Source organism: Homo sapiens, chromosome 2 (assembly GCF_000001405.40).
Source record: "Homo sapiens chromosome 2, GRCh38.p14 Primary Assembly".
In the NCBI taxonomy this organism is placed as follows: Eukaryota; Metazoa; Chordata; class Mammalia; order Primates; family Hominidae; genus Homo; species Homo sapiens.
Window position 1 is genome coordinate 56,106,299 of NC_000002.12, and position 21,664 is coordinate 56,127,962.

General features: G+C 42.8%; 1 long non-coding RNA gene across 1 annotated transcript in view, besides 2 other annotated features; it reads left to right on the forward strand.

Annotated features, from left to right (window-relative positions):
- The window catches only part of LOC105374690 (uncharacterized), a 231,734-nt gene that overhangs the window by 160,475 nt on the left and 49,595 nt on the right, over positions 1 to 21,664 (forward strand). The window contains exon 5 of the long non-coding RNA XR_940109.3: positions 11,760 to 11,873. This is a non-coding gene — a long non-coding RNA (uncharacterized LOC105374690). The remainder of the gene's footprint in view (positions 1 to 11,759; positions 11,874 to 21,664) is intronic.
- Positions 13,451 to 13,981: an enhancer, noted in NCBI's record as "H3K27ac-H3K4me1 hESC enhancer chr2:56346884-56347414 (GRCh37/hg19 assembly coordinates)". NCBI's record gives its function as "activates a minimal SCP1, AML or CMV promoter by ChIP-STARR-seq in naive H9 embryonic stem cells {active_cell/tissue: H9 hESC(naive)}" and the evidence as "EXISTENCE:reporter gene assay evidence [ECO:0000049][PMID:30033119]".
- Positions 13,616 to 13,910: a silencer, noted in NCBI's record as "tiled region #8616; K562 Repressive non-DNase unmatched - State 2:TssF". NCBI's record gives its function as "represses a minimal TATA promoter and a strong SV40 promoter by Sharpr-MPRA in K562 cells {active_cell/tissue: K562}" and the evidence as "EXISTENCE:reporter gene assay evidence [ECO:0000049][PMID:27701403]".

Below are 21,664 nucleotides of genomic sequence, written 5' to 3' on the forward strand. Positions count from 1 at the left end.
TATTTGTCTTCAAGGTCCACACTGCACACCCCATGCTTAATTCTGGGGCTGCTCTTTGCAAAGGACACAAGAAACTACTCAATAACTGTCATATGAGCAAAGATGGAAGTAACTGGGGCTATTTATCCTAGACACAAAGGGACTTAGAGGTTACTTGAGAGCCTACTTCAAATACTGCTGGGATTGTCACACAGATGATGGCTCTGACTTGTTCTGTATCTCCCCAGAGGTTAGTATTAGAACCAATGGGTAGAAGATGGAGAGAAGATGAATCTCATCTAAAGAAGAGTTCTGTTATGACCAAAGGCATCTGAAGTGGAACAGGCATTCCCAGGAGCATGATGAGCTGCCCATCCCTAGGGACGTTCAAGAAGAGGCTGAGGGACTAGCTTGAATATTAAAATGCTCAAGCATTTGAGGAGAGATTAGGTTAGACTACTGAGGGCCCCTGCAACTCTGAGGTATAGGGTTCCAAGAAATCAAGAATATAGCAGCATCTGTCTATTTGGCTAAGAGCAGGATAGGTGAACATGCATCCATCTGTTTGGCTAAGAGCAGGATAGGTGAACATCCTTAGAACTCTCTACCTAAGCATAGGTAGCTGGGCACCAAATTGTTGGTTTTCCTGCGGAAAGAGAACATCACAGAAACTCTCAAAAGCAGCCTTTTAGCAATGGGGCTAAATCTGACTTCAGTGTTTCATTTTCAAATATGCCTAAACTCCAAAGCATGGAAAGATAGCATCTTAGTGAAGGGAACTTTCCTTTACTTCATACCTACCATGTTTTATGCCTTCACTGTCCCATATTTTAGCCACTATCTGCATGAGGCTGTTGAACACTTGGCATGTGCCTAGTCTGCATTGAGATGTGCCGTAAGTATAAAATACATATGATTTCAAAGATTTAGTATGACAAAAGGAATTTAAAATATCTCATTTATATTTTTATATTGGTGACATGTTAAAATAATATTTTGATATGTTGGGTTATAAAACATATAAATAAAATTAATGTCATCTGTTTCTTTTCCTTTTTAAAAAAGTGTAGCTAATAGAAATTTAAAATCACATATGTGGCTCACATTCTATATCTATTGAACAGTGCTATTCTAGATCCAGGATAAGTAGTTCTCTTCATTATCTTATTTAATCTTCACAACTATGACATGAAGTAGAAGACATTAGAATTTAGGGAGATTGAATAAATTGCCCAAGACCATGCAGCCAGTAAGTTGCCGCCTTGGGATTTGAACCCAGGCCCCATCGACTCTGTGACCACACTCTTCCACCACATGATGCCCCTATATTGATGTCCTCTTTAGGGAATTGCTGCTATGTTATAAAATGCTAAAGGAAGGAGGATGAGAAATGGTTGTGGAAATGCTGACAGCAGCTTAATTACATAATTAAAAATGCAGCAGGCTTCAGAAGTATGTGCATAGGCTCAGGAATGGACAGTGAACCTGGCTCCAAATTAATCCATGCCTGCAGGTAAAGGAGTCTGCAATCCTGGAACGTTGGAAATGCATGTCACTAGGGGAATTTTAAAGTATCAGAGATAGAGGGGGCATTCCAGGGATAGAGCTTCTGAGCTCTGTGGCCTGGGTTTAAGCAGAGGCAGGAACCCTGCACCACCACATGAAAAGCCTTAATGTGAACATTCTGCTGTGCTGGGTGTTGGGATCACTGATGGAACAGGGAGAAGATGGGAGTTTAGGGAGTGTCCTAGGGGAATTTAGTAGCCTCCTTGATTCTGACTCAACAAAACTTACTATCATAAATAACCATCCTGGCTGGGTACAGTGACTCATACCTGTAATCCTAGCATTTTGGGAGGCTGAGGCAGGAGAATTGTTTCAGGCCAGGAGTTCAAGACCAGCCTGGGCTACATAGAAAGACCCTAATCTCTACAAAAAGTAAAATAAATAAATAAATACATAAATAAATAAATAACCATCCTATATATGGAACTTCTGTATCTGACTCAAGGGGCACTTTCATATTTTTTTTCTTGTTAGTGTAGTGAGGCAGGCTTGGACCTTTTTGGAAGGGGTTTTCACATTTCCCCATACACACAAATCCCCCTATCTCCTGGCCCTGCCTGCAGTGCCTCCTTAGAAGAGAGAGTGCTGCTTCCTCTGGCCTTGTTGGATCATGGGGTCTCCAAGCCAGGCTATTGGTAGGCTAACGGCTACATGTTGGGGGGCCCTCGAGGCTGTGCCACATGAAGGTTTCTTCTGGGGATCATCTGTCCATGTACTCACAGTTAGAAAAACAGAAGGCAGCCCTAGGCTGTTGAAGGGAGGAAAATCAATGACGGGCCTTCTGCAGTTCTGAGTTAAATAAATAAGTAAAATCACTCCCAAATAATATTCAGTTGAGAAGATTCATAAGAAGCAAAGTAAATGGCCTGTACAAATGCCCGACTGAGGAGAGAAAGAAAGCATGGTAATGATTTTGCCAGCCCAAAGGGAAGTGGAAGCAGAATTAGAAGGAAGTGATTGACTTACAATTACACTGACTAGGGATCCTGGGGTTTGTGACCGCTGAAAATTACTCAGGTAGCCCTAGAGCAGCAACAAAGCCCCCAAAGCCCAATGCTCCAAAGTGATTGGCTACATATAGTCAATTCTAGGTCACTGAGGAGGATGTGGGGCATGTGGAAGGGGCAGTGGGATGCTGGCCAGCTCAGGAGGTTCTGGGCAAAGCTGCAGGTAGGTGGAGCTGTTTCAAGGACAACACCACCCAGGACCATGAAAGCGGGGTGTGGAGAGACAGGAGATCAGTTACAAAGAGAAGAATTTTCATGCACAAGCCATAGAGAAAATTTGAGTGCCCAATCCTCCCAGCTTCTGAGGGCTCCAGAATGGTGTAGCAGAGGCCAGCAGATAGGACAGACAAATAAATGACCCTCAGCTTAGACCTATAGTTCCTTCAGCTCTGCATTCTAAATGTGGGAGAGTCTTCCAGAATGAACTTAAGGAAATGCAGTCGTTTTCCCTGCATGGCAACCTCAGAAGGCTGGGGCTGTACCTGCGGACAAACTCTAACAGACCTGCCAACTGGGGATTTTTCCAACTTCGTGGGACCTGCTTTTATTTCTAGCTAGTTTGTACTAGTAGTACTATTAGCAGTAAGGGTGGTGATCAATCAGAGGTCAGAGTAGGGCAGAGAAGGTCAAGAGAGGCCCTCTTTTTGTCGAAGGTAGAACAAGGCTGGTGTACCTCTGAAGATAATCCTCAACTCCCATTAGCCCCAACAATTCCATCACAATTTTTATCAGGTCCTAAACAAGGAAGTAAATTAATAAATCTGTTTTCTGTTTATTTTCCCAGTCCACATAGTAAGTAATTAATGTACATGAAATAAATGCCTGAAAGCTATAAAGTGAGGCTTTGCAGTTATGTTTTTCCAAGGGTCATTTATTGTATTTCCTCTGAAGTCAGCACACAATGGTAAAAGGGAGACTTACTGAACTAACTGCTTTGCAGGTGCTCCTGCTCCATTCAGATTCTTCCCTCCATGGCATGACCAGTGAACATCCATTAAGCTATGTCAATCGGGCCAGAAAAATACACATCTTCCTTTTCTAATAAGGGGGGCACATTATTTTAGACTTCTAAGGTGAGCCTTCTAGACTTCCAGACAGGGGCTGAGCAAAGCTTGTCATTTGACAACAGCTCCGGTAGAAACAGTGAAATGATAGCAAGAATTTGAAAGCCCAGTATGAGATGCACAAATGGCACCTGGAGTTAAAAAGGGCTTAAAAATTAAAACTAGTTCAGCATCTTCCCTTGCCTCAACTGTTTCTCAGAGCAGTATAGAAAGCAAAACCCCCACAGATGCAGCTCTGCCACACAGTGTTAGCAAGTAAAGTGCAGAGCAGGTCACAGTATTTCTAATTCAGATTAATGACCCCATTCAGCACTGTCTCCTTAGCAGCAAATTAGAAAGTATAGGAAGGAGCAAATAGTGATTCATAATATGTGACTCTGAGTATTGGCAGTTGTGCTAGTTAAAAGCTAAGATATTGTTTTGATACAAAATAATTGAGTCTGACTTATTTATGGGATAAAGTGTTCCCCATAATAAGAGATTCTTTTTTTGTAAAGTTACATACCCATATATTTGAAAGACAGGAGAACTGACCTTTGCCCATTTTGTGTTTGCTGAAGCTCTGTTAGAAACAGTAATTTGGGGTAATAGGTTGGTAGGGTCTCATATGTTTCTGGTACTTTGCTGTTGATTCTATATCTTTTTTTTTTTTTTGGCCCCTCAACATCTCTCCCTACCAGGGCTTAGTCCTGGTCTTCCATTCTCCACTCTGCACACTTATTTTTCAGGGAACTTATTTAATTTAGGGGCTTCATTTGCCTCCTGTTTGCCTCCAGTCATGACCTTTTCCCCATGTCTTGCCATCTCACACTCTTCAACACACATACACACACACACACTTCAGTTAGATTCATATAGACTTATATATGAAACTCAACTCATTGTTGTCTCATGTATATTTCATTGTTTCTCTAAAAACCTGTTCATGGCCATGCATATCCATTCTTCTTTCCTTTGCCTTCCATATCTTTTTTTGTTGTTGCTGTTGTTTTAGATGGAGTCTCGCTCTGTTCCCAGGTTGGAGTGCAGTGGTGTGATCTCTGCTCACTGCAACCTCCACCTCCCAGGTTCAAATGATTCTCCTGCCTTATCCTCCAAGTAGCTGGGACTACAGGCACACACCACCATGCCTGGCTAATTTTTTGTATTTTTAGTAGAGATGGGGGTTTTGCCAGGTTGGCCAGTCTGGTCTTGAATTCCTGAACTCAGGTGATCCGCCCGCCTCTGCCTCCCAAAGTGCTGGGATCATAGGCGTGAGCCACCACGCCCGGCCTGCCTTCCATATCTCGTCTGTCACCAAGAGCTGCCCCTTCCTTTCTGGATTCAGCCTTTCTCATTCATTTCCTCACTCAATATATAAGCTTGGCTCAGTCTCTTTTGTTTAAGAGAGAGAAACAATTTCTTTGAGTAAGAGCCATGACAAGCCCAGTCTTTGGGCTTGTCCAATAAACTTTAACCTATGAGGATGCAGTCTTTGTTGTATGCTATAGGGATGTGTCCACTCACAGATCATACACCCAAATAGTGTTGATAAGAATTGAGAAGAGTTGGATGAGCTATAGAAATAAGAGCGTCTGAGATGTTATTCCCAGCCCCAAATCTAAATTGGAATCTCCTGGGGAGTTTTTTGAAAATGCAGATTACAGCCAGGCGTGGTGGCTCACGCCTATAATCCCACCACTTTGGGAGGCTGAGGTGGGTGGATCACCTGAAGTCAGGAGTTTGAGACCAGCCTGGCCAACATGATAAACCCCATCTCTACTAAAAATACAAAAAACTAGCCTGGTGTGGTCGTGGGTGCCTGTAATCCCAGCTACTCAGGAGGCTGAGGGAGGAGAATCACTTGAACCCTCAAGGTGGAGGTTGCAGTGAGCCAGGATCATGCCATTGCACTCCAGCCTGGGTAACAAGAGTGAAACTCTGTCTCAAAAGAAAAAAAAAAAGCAGATTACTCTTAAGTCTCAATCTCACCTCCCAGGAGGTGTCTTGCACACTCTCCTGCTACCAGTCTCCTTGCTTTTCCTGGAACGCAATGAGCATTTTTCCTTCCCAGGGCCTTTGCACTTGCTAATTCCTCTTTATAACTCTCTTCACCCAGATATCTGCATTGGCTTGCTCCATTACCCTGTTTAGGCCTCTGCTCCTCAGAGAGGTAATCACACTATCTAAAACAGCATCCTTCCATTTGCTCACTTTTATTCTGTCTTTCCTTAGATCTACATATTTATAATTTTTTGGCCTATCGCCCCTCCTAAATAGTGAGTTCTGTGGGGGCAAATGTTTTGTCTAGTTGGGTTACTGCTTTATTCTCAGAGTTAGTAAGAAGCTTCCCACATAGTAGGCACTCAAGCAATGTCTGTTGAATCAGTGAATGACAGATGGATCAGAGAGGCTGAGTTAATCAGGGAAGTCTAGTTCTAAAACAGTGGTTCTTAAAGCCTGGTCCTTGGATGAGCAGCTTTAGCATTGCTAGAGACATTGTTGGAAATGCACATTCTTGGGCTTCACCCCAGACCAGCTAAATCAGAAACTGGGAGGCAGCTATGTGTGCTTCAGCAAGCCTCCAGGTAACTCTGGTGCTTGCTAAAGCTTGAGAACCAATGCTCTAGATTGTTATTTTGGTGCCATGTTACCTCTTCCACCTATTCCTATTTGTCAAGACCATACAAAATATCTTATGGTGTTCATATTTGACACTCACAATGATCTTAGACTATTCTTTGATTGTTTCGGGTTTACTGGGTCAGGGAGCTGGCTTGTCCTGTGGTCCTCAGGCATCCAGGGATAACTCAGGATACATTTGTTGGTTACTTGATTTTGCTATATTCCTTATATATTCCTTTTTTTTTTTTTTTGGTTCTAAGTACCATAAGGAGAAAGGTTATACTCTTCCACTGAGAGTTAGTGCAAGTATATATTTTATTAGGATAGAGATGGGACATTGATTAAAAATACTTGTAGGTTGGTTAATTTTGACTGGTTGTTTTATTATGTGTTAGGAATGTAGTAAAGTAGTTAAGAGCATGGGCGTAGGAGTCAGATTTGGGCTGGACCAGCTTTTAATTGGGCAATAATGCCTGCCTCAGAGGGTTGATAGCACTGGTGTCCAATAGGCACTCAAAGTAGATGTTAATAACAGTAATATATTGGCATTTTTAGAACATAAAAAATTTGTTATGTTGGTGCACGCTTGAGTATATTTATTAAAGCAGAAAGATGACAGTGGTAAGTATATTTTAGGACAGTAGTTCTCACAAAGTAGTGTTCAGACTAGCAGGCTCAGCATCACCTGTAAATTGTCAGAAATGCAAATTCCCAGACCCCACTCAGATCTACTAAAACAGAATGTAACAGCAGATTTAGCAATCTATGGTTTAACAAACCCTCCAGGTGATTCAGATGCATACTCAAGTTGGGGAAGCCCTGCTTTAAAATAATGTACACACACTCTCCACACCACACACCCCTTGTATATGGTATGCTTATTTTGAGAAACAATCTATTAACAAATGAGAGGACCGTGGTAGCCAACAACTAGATAATTCCTGCTGAGGGATAAGTCAATAGGGTCCAGGTCATTCGAATTTGGGAAACAGACTCAATTCCTGGTTTCTGTATAAACTCATTCAGTGGACTAGCTTTCTGACAGGTCTTTGAAAAATGAGACCCCTGGTAACAGCCCTCTCTCTCAAATATTTCCCTGGCCTGCAGCAATTAAACAGCTGAGCAGGAAACTGGACCTGAAGTTCTGTTAACCCTTTGTCAGCTAAAGCACATGAGCAATCTGTCTTGCTGGAGAGATTTTATTTTCAACCTCTTTCCCTCTCACCACACTACAAAGGAAAACTGCCTCCTGAAACATCTCCTGGTGGAGCTGCGAGCTTCCGTGTCTGTGTGATTGAAAACAGCAAGGTCAGAGATCAACAGAAATGAATGGTCATTACAAACTAAATGCAGCTGCTGAATCTCCTTGTACTTCTCCTTGGTGTCATGAAGACAAATAGCATTAAAAAAAGTTTTCCCAGTGAAGCAGCTCTCATTTTCTCCTCTCTCATCCCCTTCCAAACATTTCTTAATGAACTACAAGTCCATCATCTATGAGCCTGATGGTTTTAAAGCTGAGCATTACCCAGCTAGAAACGATCAGAACTGAGTGGGTTAAGCCACTTTCTGAGTGCTTTCGTCCTTGTGTTGGTAAGTTGGGGCTTTTGTCTGTCCAAGTCCTTATTGTTACTATGTATGAAAACATCAAATCCATGGTAAAGTCAAGCCAGTTCTTCAGTGCCAGGCAAGACTTGAGTTGCTGAACAACGCTCCCTGTTTATTGATAATTGTGGTGTCTTTTCCTTTGTCTTTTCCATGCATTCATTTTTTTCCTTATTGTCCACATGTGCATTGTAGATTTTCGGCGCAAATGTTGAATTCTAGACCAGTATCTCCCATCATCTACTCAGAGGTTTATCAGGGAACTCAAGCTAATTTGAATGTGAGTTTACACAAAAAGCAATTGGGTTTATAATCTTATTTAATCCACATCTGTTAGAACCCAGTAATTCTTAGCTAGGCACAGTGGCTCACGACTGTAATCCCAGCACTTTGGAAGGCCCAGGTGGGCCGATCACTTAAGGTCAGGAGTTCGAGAGCAGCCAGACCAAAATGGTGAAACCCTGTCTCTACTAAAAATACAAAAATTAGCCGGGTGTGGTGGCATGTGCCTGTAATCCCAGCTACTCGGAGGCTGAGACAGGAGAATCGCTTGAACCCAGGTAGAAGTTGCAGTGAGCCGAGGTTGTGCCACTGTACTCGAGCCTGGGCAACAGAGTAAAACTGTGTCTTGAAAAAACAAAGAACCCAGTAACTCTTTATTGAGGAAGAACAGTTTCTGTTTCTAAAGTTGAGAAGTTTTGAATTTAGAAAATAGAATAGGCACCAACCAAAAGTGTCCAAGCAAATACCTCTTTAATAAGAATCTCCTGCATTGAAACCCAAACCAATTTTGATGAGGTCTTTGTGGTATTTAGCAAAATGCTTTGCTCACAGTAGATACTGAACACGTTTTTTTTAATTCAGTGTTACTTACAAATGTGAGTTTTAGCCACCAAAAGCATAAAAACCGGAATGACAATATAAGACATCTCATTTATAGTAAAATGAGAATTAATCAAATTTGAATTTGTACTCTGTTGGTACAGATGATGGAAGAAAGTGATGCAGGGCAGGTGAGCCCCAAAATGGGTTTAGCCCATGAGGGTTCTTGGCTTTGCCCAGGAAACAAATTCAAGGGCAAGCCAGAGATAGAAGAAAATAGCTTTATTGAAGCAGCAGTGTTACAGCTCTAGAAGTGTGATAGCTCCATGACTACTCCTGTAGAGCAGGCCTACCTAGTTGGCAGAGGGTAGCAGCTCAGGGCCGTTCTACAGTCATATTTATACCTACTTTTAATTACATGCAGATTTAGGGGCAGTTTATGCACAAATTTCTAGGGAAGGGGTTGTAACTTCTGGGTCTCAGGTCATTGCCATGGAAAGGGGCAGGAATTCCCAGTTGGCATGGCAATGGTAACCTGACATGGCACACTGGTGGGCCTATCTTACAGAAAGCTGCTTCTGCCCCATCTGTGTTTTAGCTAGTCCTCAATTTGGTCTGATGTCTGAGCCCCACCTCTGGAGTGGAATTTCCACCTCCTAGCTCAAAAGCATTGCATTCCTGGTTTTAAGTGAATAATCCTATGTAGAGCAGTCAATATGAGTCCACTGCTCCCACATAGGAAGTGTTTGATGGATATGACTTACCTTTTCCTCTACCCCTCAGGTGAATGATGGTGTGGAGGAAAAGTTTCAGAATTATCTGAAAAAGATTTCGAATCCATTTGTGCACTGAGTTTTATATATAGACAGATTAAACACTGTCTCTTACAGGGAGTTTCTACTATGGGTTTCCCAAATAAAAGTATACACACTATTGTGGTAAGTAAAATACACATTTATCTATAACCATTACAACATTCATTGCAGTTTTTTGCCATCCTATGTTTTCTCAACCACTGTCTGAGAAATTTATTTTTTATCTTTTATTTTAGGTTCAGGGTTACATGTGCAGGTTTGTTACATAGGTAAACTCATGTCGCAGGGGTTTGTTGTACAGATTATTTCATCACCCAGTTACCAAGCCTAGTACTCAATACTTATTTTTTTATCCTCTCCCCACTTTTATCTTCCACCCTCAAGTAGGCCGCCATGTCTGTTGTTCTCTTTGTGTCCATGAGTTCTCATCACTTAGCTCCCACTTATAAGTGAGAACATGTGATATTTAATTTTCTGTTCCTTTGTTAGTTTGCTAAGGATAACGGTCTCCAGCTCCATTCACATTCCCACAAAAAACATGATTTTGTTCTTTTTTTACGGCTGCATAGTATTCCGTGATGTATATGTACCACATTTTCTTTATCCAATCTGTCACTGATGGGCATTTAGATTGATTCCATGTCTTTGCTATTGTGAATACTGCTGCAATGAACATCATGAGCTTGTGTCTTTATGGCAGAATGATTTATATTCCTTTGGGTATATACCCAATAATGGGATTGTTGGGCCAAATTTTTTGAGTAGAAGAGGTTTCCTCCTACTGAAAAGCAGGAGGAATGGCTATTCTGTAACTTTGCCTAAGGCAGGGCTTCCCAGGTATAGTCTGAAACCCTGGTGTTTTCTTTTTAAAATGCAGATTACCCCACTCCATCTCTGACTCTTTGGATTAGAATCTCTCAGGTGGGGACCTAGTAATCTGCTTTTTAAAACACATTTCCTCATGTCAATTTTCTTGTGCATTGAAGTTTGAGAACTATTGGCTTAAGGGAATTAGAAAATACCTTCACACAATCAGGAGTCCTCTCCAGATGGATGAAGCTTTGTTTTTCAGGTTTTACTTGAAGATGGAATATCTCTTACCTTTTTAAATCTATACTGTCCAGAAGCTTGCTAGAATATCTATCAATCATGCCAGATATCTAGTGACAGTTTTAAAGCATTGTAGTCCTGCTGGAACTCTAAAACCAAAGAGAAATGGTTTTGGATCACCTACAGATGTGGCTTAGTCATATAACTATTTGTCTTCACTTGTGTACACTGAAATACCACGCAAAATTAGATTACAGTGGGGGAGGGAAGCCGGACCGCAGATCTGAAATCATTAGCAACTCCTGGGAGCATTCACCTGATTTGTGTATATTTACATATAATCTTCAGTAAAATTAGGAAACCCTTACCACCATCTGTGTTGCTATAGCAAAGTGCAGGGGCAGCAAATATCTGTTTTCTGTTTTGACACTCTTGTCTCTAGCAGCTAAACATTTCTAATCAATTCCAACAATCCTTCCCTTTGAGCCAGAATATTTATGTGTCAGAAGCTTGTGCTCTAGACAGCTGTTACTGGATGGGATGATTGGAAGATGAAATATATTTGCTATGTTTGGGGTGGTAAAGAGGATGGGTTTTGCCGTCAAATGGCTTAGAAGGTTCAAATCCCAGTCTTGCTCCTTATGAGTTATGGGATATAGAGCGAGAGTACCTTTTTGAGCTCATTACCACATCCTTCCAAGCTGTACTAAGAAAAACAACTAGAATTTTTTTTGGAGCCTTTTATTGCCAGGAATCCTAAACAATTTACATGCATTGTTTCTGTGTTTCTCAACAATCTTACGAGGGGCCATACGAGTTCCATAAGCAAGCATGGAGGAATTTACCGCAAAGTGCATCCTTGTTGCAGCCCCTTCTCTGGGATTATGGCTTTTATAGGCCACATTTATCGAGGGATTCATGAATGCAAGAGATCATTTTAATCACTTTATGAGGAGTAACCCATTTAATCCTCACAAGAATTCTAAGAGGTAGGCGTTCTTATCTCCAGTTTATATATGAGGTGCCTGAAGCTCAAAAAAAGGTTAAGTAACTCATAAGGGGTGGAGTTAGACCAGCGCTGCTCAAAATGAAGTCCTGGGCCAGCAGCAGCAGCACCAGGAATTTAGTAGGAAAAATGCAAATTTTCAAGCTCCTCTCCTGACCTCCTGAGTCAGAACTGTGGGTGGGGCCCAGAAATCCTGTGTTTTAACAGGCCCTCCAGGTGATTTTGAGGTACATTAAACTTTCAGAACCTGAAGCTTTCTGACAAAGGAGATTGGCAGGACAAAGAGAAGTATAAGGAGTGAGATTGTGACCTGAGGATGTTCGAAAACGGCTCATCCCTCCCTGGGAAGGAAGTACAAGTGAGTGCCTTTTTCTGCTTCCTTTCTGTATTTCCTTCTAGTATCTATCCTGGAATTCTGTATGTACTTTTTCCTGTTAATGAGGAAAATTGGTTGATTTTTTTCTTTTTCTTTTACTTTGTGTTACACGTTCCAGTAGAATAAACAAGAAGCAACAACCTAATCTCCTTTCAAATCCACACTGTCCTTAATTTATACGGCAATGTGAGTTCCTGCATTTCACTTCATGCAGGTTCTTTGCCTTCTCCTAGTCCTTCAATTCAGTTCAGCAAATTCTGACCATCTAGGAGGGTTTTGCACTCTATCTGTTATATGAATTTGGAAGTGCCTTGTTAGAGGACTGTGGCATGTAATAAAAATTACAATAAAAAGATGAATGTGGACAAAGCCCAGGTCTAAGGACTGCTTAGTCACTGCTTCACTGAATCCTCGTAACGATCTTATGTGGTAACTTATTATTGGCCCCATGCAAATGAGGATGCTTATCAAGCCCCACTAATGCTTACCAACCCTCCATTTTGAAAGTGACCTCATCTGCTGAGTGAGCTGCAGGGCCGGGATCCAACACCAGGTATGTCTGATGCCACTGCCAGCTGTCTTAGTAACGTGCTTTATGTGACAGAGGAAGGAGTGACAGAAATCTGAGGCCACTGACATCACTAAGGAGGTGAAGACAGAATCTGCTGCTTAGGGTTTTTGGAGAGAAATCGGAGGCTAGGATTTAGAGACTCTCCTTGGTTATTTCATCTTGATTTTCCTTCAGCTCAGGCACAAGATCAAGAACCCAGAAAGGCTCTTAAACTGTTCTTTGTTAACTGGATTCCATCGGACTGCTGTTGTTTAGCTTTCAGAAGGACAGAGAAAAGATTTCCTCTTAAGATGCTACACTGTTTAAGTGTTAAGCAGGAGACTTTTTAGTATTCAGAGACAGGGGAGGAATTAGCAGCCCTGTGCTGACTTGAAAATCAGATTGCAAGTCCCAGTGTCCCTGTGGGGTGTTCTTAGGGCTGCCCACCTCAAAACTCTATGGTGAGGCTTGGGGATGACAGAGGAATCATCCCAAAAAACCGCTTGTATTTTCCAAGGTGAAATTTGCTTTTGTGGGGGGAGGCGTAAAGAAGGAAAACAATTATTTATTTCTAATTCTAGAAAGTGCGGGTTACCTACATCTGCCGCCTTCCTGACATCTAACAGATTTGTTCTGCCTCTGCAAACATAAGCTAGTAACACATAAATACCCAGCCAGAGCAAGTTACAAAAAAAGCAAGACAACACCCAGCCCAGCATTGACCTGTGTCTTTGGAATGCGCACAGACTTTCTCTAGTTTTGGCCATTGGGGCTCTCCATAGTTTGCGTTTCATTCTCCAGCTCCAGCTCCCTTTGCTGTAGCACCTTAGCTTCCTATGTTCACTGCAGACTTCCCCATTTTTTTGTTTGAGACGGAGTCTTGCTCTGTCGCCCAGGCTGGAGTGATCTTGGCTTACTGCAAGCTCCGCCTCCTGGGTTCACGCCATTCTCATGCCTCAGCTTCCCGAGTAGCTGGGACTACAGGCGCCCGCCACCATGCCCGGCTAATTTTTTGTATTTTTAGTAGAGACGGGGTTTCACCGTGTTAGCCAGGATGGTCTCGGTCTCCTGACCTCGTGATCCACCCGCCTCGGTCTCCCAAAGTGCTGGGATTACAGGCGTGAGCCACCGCGCCCAGCCCAGACTTCCCTTTTCTAACAATCAGTTTTGGACCCTTGTCTCCAGGTCTTAGTTTTCCTGGGCATGCTTGTGAGATTTGCTTTGCGCCCACGCACCATCTGTAGTAGGGGATGTCCCTGCACTCTACCACTCTGACAGAGGAGTAACCCTTTCCAGAGGAGGAGGGAGTCAGTTGCCTAGTGTGATGGAAATTTCCCAGCTCCTAAAATCTGGGCAGTGGATCTCAAATTTCAGAGTACCTAAGAATCACCTGGGGCCTTTGTTAAACTTTAGATTGTCAGCTCCTGCTGACCCCTAATTCTGATTCAGTAGGTCTAAGAGCCCAGGATTGAATTCTAATAAGCAGCTGGGGAGTCCACATGTTTCACTTTGAGAATTAGTGATTTGGTTGTGGTATTAGAATGTTAGTGTCGCATCCAGCCTTTGGACGGCAGGAGTCGTGGGCAGGGGTGTGTGGGTGGTTACGTTGATGTCCAAACGGGGAGTGTCAGGCAGGGGTGCGGTAACAGTCTCAGGGGAACACATTACTCTTCCTTTCTTCCATCCCTTTCCCTCCTCCTTCCCTTCCAAAAGAAATTTTTTAAAGGACCTCTTACAAGGAACTTTGCTATGCTGGTTGGAGGTGAGGGGTCTGGAAAGCTTCAAGCTGATCCTCTTCTCCCCTTTATCCCTTGAGGAAGTTTCTAAGGCAGATTCATGGACACCGTTGGGTTCCTTCAGGAGTAGCTTGAAAATTAACTTGATCTAACTCCCATTTTACAGATGAAGAAACTGAGGTTTGGAGAAGGGACTGAAGAGAAGCTGGCCAGAGGCGTACCTGGACGATCACCCTGGCCTCCTCATTTTCAGGCCTTCGAGATTTTCCCAACTAGATTCTGTCAACAGCATGTCCAACATGAGGTCCACAGATGTTCTGGGGGAGAAAGGGGTGAGCTGTATAACCAAGGAAGTTTGGGTGTCACTAGATGAAGCCCGGGTAAGCAGGTTTCTTTACTGCAGGACTTCATAGACCTAGGAGATTGTAATGTGAACTGTGACTCTTCAATAAAAGTCATGGAGGCAGAGTTTTCCAAACTCGTTTAATAACAGACTCTTTTCCCCACTTTTTTTTTTTTTTTTTTTGAGATGGAGTCTGGCTCTGTCGCCCAGGCTGGAGTGCAGTGGCACGATCTCAGCTGACTGCAAGTTCTGCCTCCAGGGTTCAAGCGATTCTCCTGCCTCAGCCTCCCGAGTAGCTGGGACTACAGGCGCCCGCCACCACGCCCGGCTAATTTTTTGTATTTTTAGTAGAGATGGGGTTTCACCGTATTAGCCAGGATGGTCGTGATCTCCTGACCTCGTGATCCACCTGCCTCGGCCTCCCAAAGTGCTGGGATTACAGCCGCGAGCCACCGTGCCCAGCTAACTTTTCCCCACTTTTTAACATACTAGCATCCCAACAGACACTACTGTTGTAAGGAAAACTGTTTGGGGATTGTACACTCTGCTTCCCCGAAACAAGCCAGAGAGAGTTCATAGTCACCGAAGACGAGAATTCATAGGTTTTAAATTTACGTAGGCTTCTCCGGACTGGCCAACTCTGACACCCAGACACCCAGATGGCCACACCTAGGATCTAGATGGACTGACAAGTTCCCATGAGAAGGAAGCTGCAGGCCGGAAACAACTGGGCCCACTGAGCAGGCTGGCAGAGTGGGTGTCAGCCCCACTCCACCTTGGATGCAGAGGTTCTATTCTCAGGGTTGCTTAGCTTAAGGGACACCACTGAGTGTGTCAGGGAGGCACAGTTAGCTTGGTGTTCAGTTGAAGACACTGAGGATTGCTGTTGTCAAGGATGGAACAAGGGAGGAGGCAGTTACTGTGGATCACTTACCCGCCACCTGCTATTGGAGAAGACACATTACAGGGAACTTGACAGAGCCAGGAGGTGCTGGGGCATTTGTCAGGGTATAGTCTTGAGTTCAGAAGGCAGGGAGGATCTGAGCTGCCGGTCAACTTTGCCTTGTTTTCTGCTCATTTTTTAAGCTGTGGCTGTGATTTGTGCACCTTCACAGCCCATCCTTAGAAGGCTACTTAAAAGTGAGCATTGTAGGTTCTGCCTCTAGGTAAACCAGAGACTTGGTAGCAAGATGGGGATGGAAAAAAGTCAGAGTCTTGGAAAATAGGAAGATTAGGTCAAACCAACAGTGGTTGGGTCCCTTTCTTACAGACCTGGTTCTGAGGCAGAACACCCAGCAAGTGTACCCAGGGTGGGCATGAGCTGAACTACCATGAAATGAAAGAGGGTGCCTCTTCTGGTTAGGGACAATGACTGCAGGGCAGTGTGTCCTTGAAGGCACTGGCTAGCGGGAGGATGAACAGCCTCACAGTCCAGATTAACCTTTTATGGTGGACAAAGGGCCAGCCCAAGAGGCTCCCATGTCCTGCTGAATAACCATACATGGAAGAAAATTTGGTTTTGGGTTTGATTTTATTTTAATCATTAATTTGTTGTCTGATTAAAAAATAAGTCCATGTCCATTTATTTGTGAAAAGTACTAGAGTGTATTGTTATGAGCAAGGTATTTGGAGATTGAGTTTGAACCCAGAACTCATAAGCTGTGTGACTTTGCACAAGTCATTTACTATTTCCTCTTCTGTAAAATGGAGAAAAATAATCATAGCTACCCCCAAGTGATTGTTCTGAGGATTTAATGAGAGAACTTACTTAATGTCCTTAGTGCCTGAATGCAGTAAGCACTTAGATTTTAGCTATTATTATCATAACTGTTATAGTCTCACCAACCTAGATGATCTATTAATGCTTTCATATATTCTCTTTTTTAATTATGCATTTATGTTTTAAAATAGGCAGTATCATATTAGGCATATGCAATTTTGTGTCCTACTTCTTTTCAATTAATACTATATCCTGTGTGTGGAGCTTCTAATGGAACACAGGTAAGAGCATTGGCTTAGGAATAAGCAGACCTCAGTTAGAATTTAACTTTACAACTTACATACCCAGGTGTGTGGCTTTGGGAAAGGCTACTTAACCCTTCGGAGACTCAGTTTCTCAACTGAGTTGGTGTGATAATTGCTACTTACAAGGCTGTGAGGAGAATTAATAAGAAGGAAGGTTAAAGATCTAGGTCGAGACCTGGCAAGTTGTAAGTACTGAACACTTGTTGGTTCCCTTATCAAAGGAAAAGTATAGTAATGTTTCTGAGCTTCCAGAGTTAGAGTCTGTTGTATGTCTCTGCTGACTGAAAAATCTTAACATTTCCATCGATAGATCAATGCCATGCTGGAATGTCCATTTTATGTGTGACAGACAAGTATGTTAAATGTTCTCTTGTGCCTTGCCCCAGCTCTTGGCCAAGTTGCCGCTGAATAAACTTACAGATCACTGGACCTTGGGTCATGAACTTTCTTTTAGCTTTTCTTTTTTTCCTTGGCTCACTGCAACCTCTGCCTCCTGGGTTCAAGCGATTCTCATGCCTCACCCTACCGAGTAGCTGGGATTACCAGCGCATGCCACCATGCCCAGCTAGTTTTTGCATTTTTTAGTAGAGATGGGGTTTCACCATGTTGGCCAGGCTGGTCTCGAACTCCTGACCTTAGGTGATCCACCCACCTCAGCCTCCCAAAGTGTTGGGATTACAGGCGTCAGCCACCGTGCCCAATCTTCTCTAAGCTTTTTCCTCACACATTTTCTGTGATTCCTGAGAGTAAGATGAAAGTACGTCAGTCAGAGACATGGTATGAACACAGCTCCCCAGGGATTGGTGCTGGAACAATGCCCTACCCACCACCCAGTGGTGCTTCTACCTAAGGATTTATCAGGACTCTTCCTGCAAGGAGTTGGTAGTTATCTCCTGAACCACAAAGCAGAGATGTCTAAATATTATTGTTAGTTCACAGTTGCCTTAGTCAGTTAAGGCTGTTAAGTAACCAGAGACTGGTGGCTTATAAGCAACAAAAATTTATTTCTCACAGTTCTGGAGGCTGGGAATCCAGGATCAGGGTGCCAACATGATCAGGTTGTAGTGAGGACCCTCTTCCAGGTTGCAGACAGCCATCTTCTCACTGTGTCCTCACAAGGCACAGGGGTTTCAGGGAGTTCTCTGGAGTCTCTAAACTCATTCATGAGAGCCTCATCCTCATGACATAAGTACTTTCCAAAGGCCCTGTTGTGGGTGAGCAGTGACTATCTTAAGCTGGTATCATGAGGGCGGTAAGAAGAATTTACCAAGCCGTTGTAGACAAAGGCAAATTTATTAGAGAAAGTATGAAAATACATTGCAAGGAAGCAACGGGCAAGTTAGCAAGAGAGGAGCTAACTGCAAAGAGACAAAGGCTTGCTGGGGATTTTATAGAATGGTGCTTGTGCTATGTGCTAAAGAGGGCTTTGTGAAGTCCTGATAATGTCAAGATTGCGGTGAGCTAACTTGCATTTGTCTATCAGTGAAGGCTCTGGTGATAGCTGGGCGCAGGAAGATTGTGTTATTTGCGCAGGAGGGCTATGTGTTCTGGACCATGAAGAAAGGCAGACTCACAGCTTACCTGCTTTTTCTTTTCACTTTCTCCTGCTCCCACCAGCCTGACTTCCTTTCCCTAATTAGGACTCCACCCCTCTGCTGAACTACCATATAACTAATTAATTCTTTAATATAGCTACATAATATCCATAGTATGGATATGCCAAAATTTATCCAACCATTTCCTACCAATAGGTGTTCAGATTAGTTCCATTATTTATTTTTTTGGTTTGCTTTGTTTTACTATTACAAATAATATAGCAACAAACATTTTTGTACATATATCCTTAGCTACTGGTGACTTTATTCCCAGATATAAGATGGCTAGATCAAAGGATATGTACATTTAAAATTTTGACATTACTGAATTTCTTTATTAAAAAGTCTTAATTCACATTGTTCAAGTAATGATTAATAGTGCTTTTTTCTCCATATGCCTGTCAGCACTGAGTATTGTCACTCTGTAAGTGTTTACATTTTACATAGTTCTTTTTTTTTTTTTTTTTTTTTTTTTTTTTTTGAGATAGCGTCTCGCTCTGTCGCCCAGGCTGGAGTGCAGTGGTGCAATCTGAGCTCACTGCAAGCTCCGCCTCCCAGGTTCACACCATTCTCCTGCCTCAGCCTCCCGAGTAGCTGGGACTACAGGCGCCCACCACCATGCCCGGCTAAATTTTTGTATTTTTAGTAGAGACGAGGTTTCACTGTGTTAGCCAGGATGGTCTTGATCTCCTGACCTCGTGATCTGCCCACCTCGGCCTCCCAAAGTGCTGGGATTATAGGCATGAAGCACCACGCCCAGCCCTTTAAATAATTCTTTATAATGGATATGTTTATGATGGGCACAATCAGTTTTCCACTGTTACTTTCATTGGCATTTCCTTCACTGCTAGTAAGGCTGAGCATACCTTCACTGCAATGGCAATTTTGAGTTCTTTTTTTGTGAATTGTCAATTCACAGCCTTTGCTCATTCTTGTATTGGGTTGTCTTTTTAAAGGTAGTTTTGTTAGGACCACTTCTGTATTGTAGATACTTTTTTTTTCTGTAGAGGTTCATTTGATTCAAAAACTTATGTAAACATTAAAAAGGATAGTTGAGAACAAACACAGTATATAGTGAACTATTTGGACTTTATACTGCTTATTAAATCTCTAATATAAGTACATGATAAATGTTATGGACTAAATGTCTTTGTCCCCCGAAAATTCATATGTGGAAACTTAACTTTCAGAAGCCCCAGGGGTTCCAGGGATGTTACCCGAGGGGCCAGCAAATGAGACAGGGCTGAGTTCCCATGTCTGTGTCTGCCCCTCTACTCTTCATAACCTCCAGCTCTCAGCTGTCAATAGAACCACTCACTTTTATCCATTTTATGTATTGGAATTTTACATACAATTTATTTGAGGAAAGTCCTGGTGCTTAAAATCAAATTTGAACACCATTGTTTTAAGGAATGTTGCCTTAGCAGGGATAATTCTGATATGAATATTCCACACATTATATTTTGAGGGAGTTCAATAGCCACGTGTAAGAAACATGATAAGAATAATTCCTGATTCCTACTTTCTTGTTACTAATGCTGGAAATTTCTCAGACCTACTAATCTGGGCAGAGGCATTTTAATCTGTGTAGTGGACTGTTATTATAACCATAGTTATGTTTGTCCAGCATGTCCCTTAATCTTCCTTCTCCTAGTCATACAACCCCTGTTTCAGCAGGGAGCCCATCCCATGTGTTTTAGGGTAGATATATGACCCAAGGCTAACTAATTAGAATACACAGTCCACCTGGGTATAGCAAATGTTTCAGAGAGGATACATGATTAAGTTAGGCCAACCGGAGCCTGCCCTGAGATTTTTATTGGAATTATTGGGAAAATGGATCTGCTTGTTTCACTAGAACCACAAGCTGTAAGGATTAGGTAAACCTAGAGCTGCTGGTGGTTCTCTTTGCCATCACATAGGAAGAGTGTACCTTAAAATGAAGCCGAGACCAGAAAGGCAGAGCTGAGAAATTGAGGGATTTCTGAAGACACCGTTAAGCCCCTGGATCCAGCTATTCCTGGAGTTGGTTTGCCTCTTCAACTTCTCATTTATGCAAATTCCTTTTGCATTTGAGTTGAGTTTCTATCTCTTATAGCTCAGAGCCACAGCCTGCTCTCTGCATGATTCTTGCTGGTGGATGTCCTGAGCCAGGTTGTTGGGGAAAGAGAAAAGAATGAGCCCCTTCATGGGGAAGCAAACAATATTGAGAGGGGCTGCAGAATTGTGTAGAAAGTTGGAAGATATTGAACCCCCAATGAGGGACAGGCAGGGTAGAACATGAAAGAGAGGGGAGGTGAGATCAAAATTGCTGTGTTGCCCATGGTTCCCCTGAGATGTGAATACCTGTACTTTGAATTCCTCACTCCTGGGGATCTAAACCCTTGGGGGCATTTTGCCTCCATTTCCATGCATATCACTGAAGGCCTTTCTAATAGCGTGTTATCAGAAGACCTTGCACGAGTCAGTGTTCTGGACTGTGAGCAACAACTCAGGCAGGGAGTGGAGAAGGGCAGGACCATGAGATGGACTGGAGGAGCAGGAGGGTAAGCTGACAAGAGGGTGCTCTGTCAATGTTACCTGAGGCAGGACTGATTGTAGGAGAGCAATGGAGCTTAGAGGAAACTGCAGATGCAAGCACTGTGATGATATTCTTGGATCCATCAGAGACAATTTCCAGGGGAAGCAAAAGATCCAAGGAAGCAATGTCACAAAAAGGCAGATGTCTCTGCATTGTGATCCATGCCAGGGTCTCAGACCTTGCTGGTTGATTACATCATCCCTGTGATAAAGCAGTCAAGCAAATGTGTAGTCACCAGAATTCAGCATTTAAATGTTATTGCTATTTTTAAGGCTTACAGGTTGACATAGATTCAGTTCTGACTTGTGCACCCTGCGTTTATTAAAACAATTAAGTCTGTCTTACCTCCCCAACTCTGTCCTTCTATCCTTCTGTGTTTGTTTTATTTTTTCAAGAGGGCAATATTACGCACCCAGTTCACACACATCAGCCAGAAATTTTCATTCACCTACTGCCATTTTGCAGTCTCAAGTGAAAGCAATGGTAATCAAGTTATGGGCTGGAAATGTGATTCCTCTGTGGGTAACCAGGATGTTCCTGAGTAGCTGCTTCAGAGAGGGGCCAGGATGGGGCATACATCATCTGAACAGTGGGCCAGGTCTGGCAGCTGGTTCTTCACTGAAGCTATCACTTATTGCCATGGTTCCCAGTGGCAGCGTCAATAAGATCTCAGGGAAGGATAAACGGGAATGTAATAAATGGTGCAGCTGAAATAAATGCAAATGGAAAATCTGCAGGATCATCTGCCCAGGAGCAGCAGGTGAAAGCAAAGATAGAAACTCGATGCTTTCAATTAATAGACTGGCTAGCTGTAGGCGGGTAATTCCATTGTTAGAAACTGCCTGTTGTCACAATCCTGATACAGTAATGACTTCTTTTATTCCCTATAAAGCTGAAGATGTCAGAAACTAAAAATTTCCATAGCATAAATCATGCCTTTTTC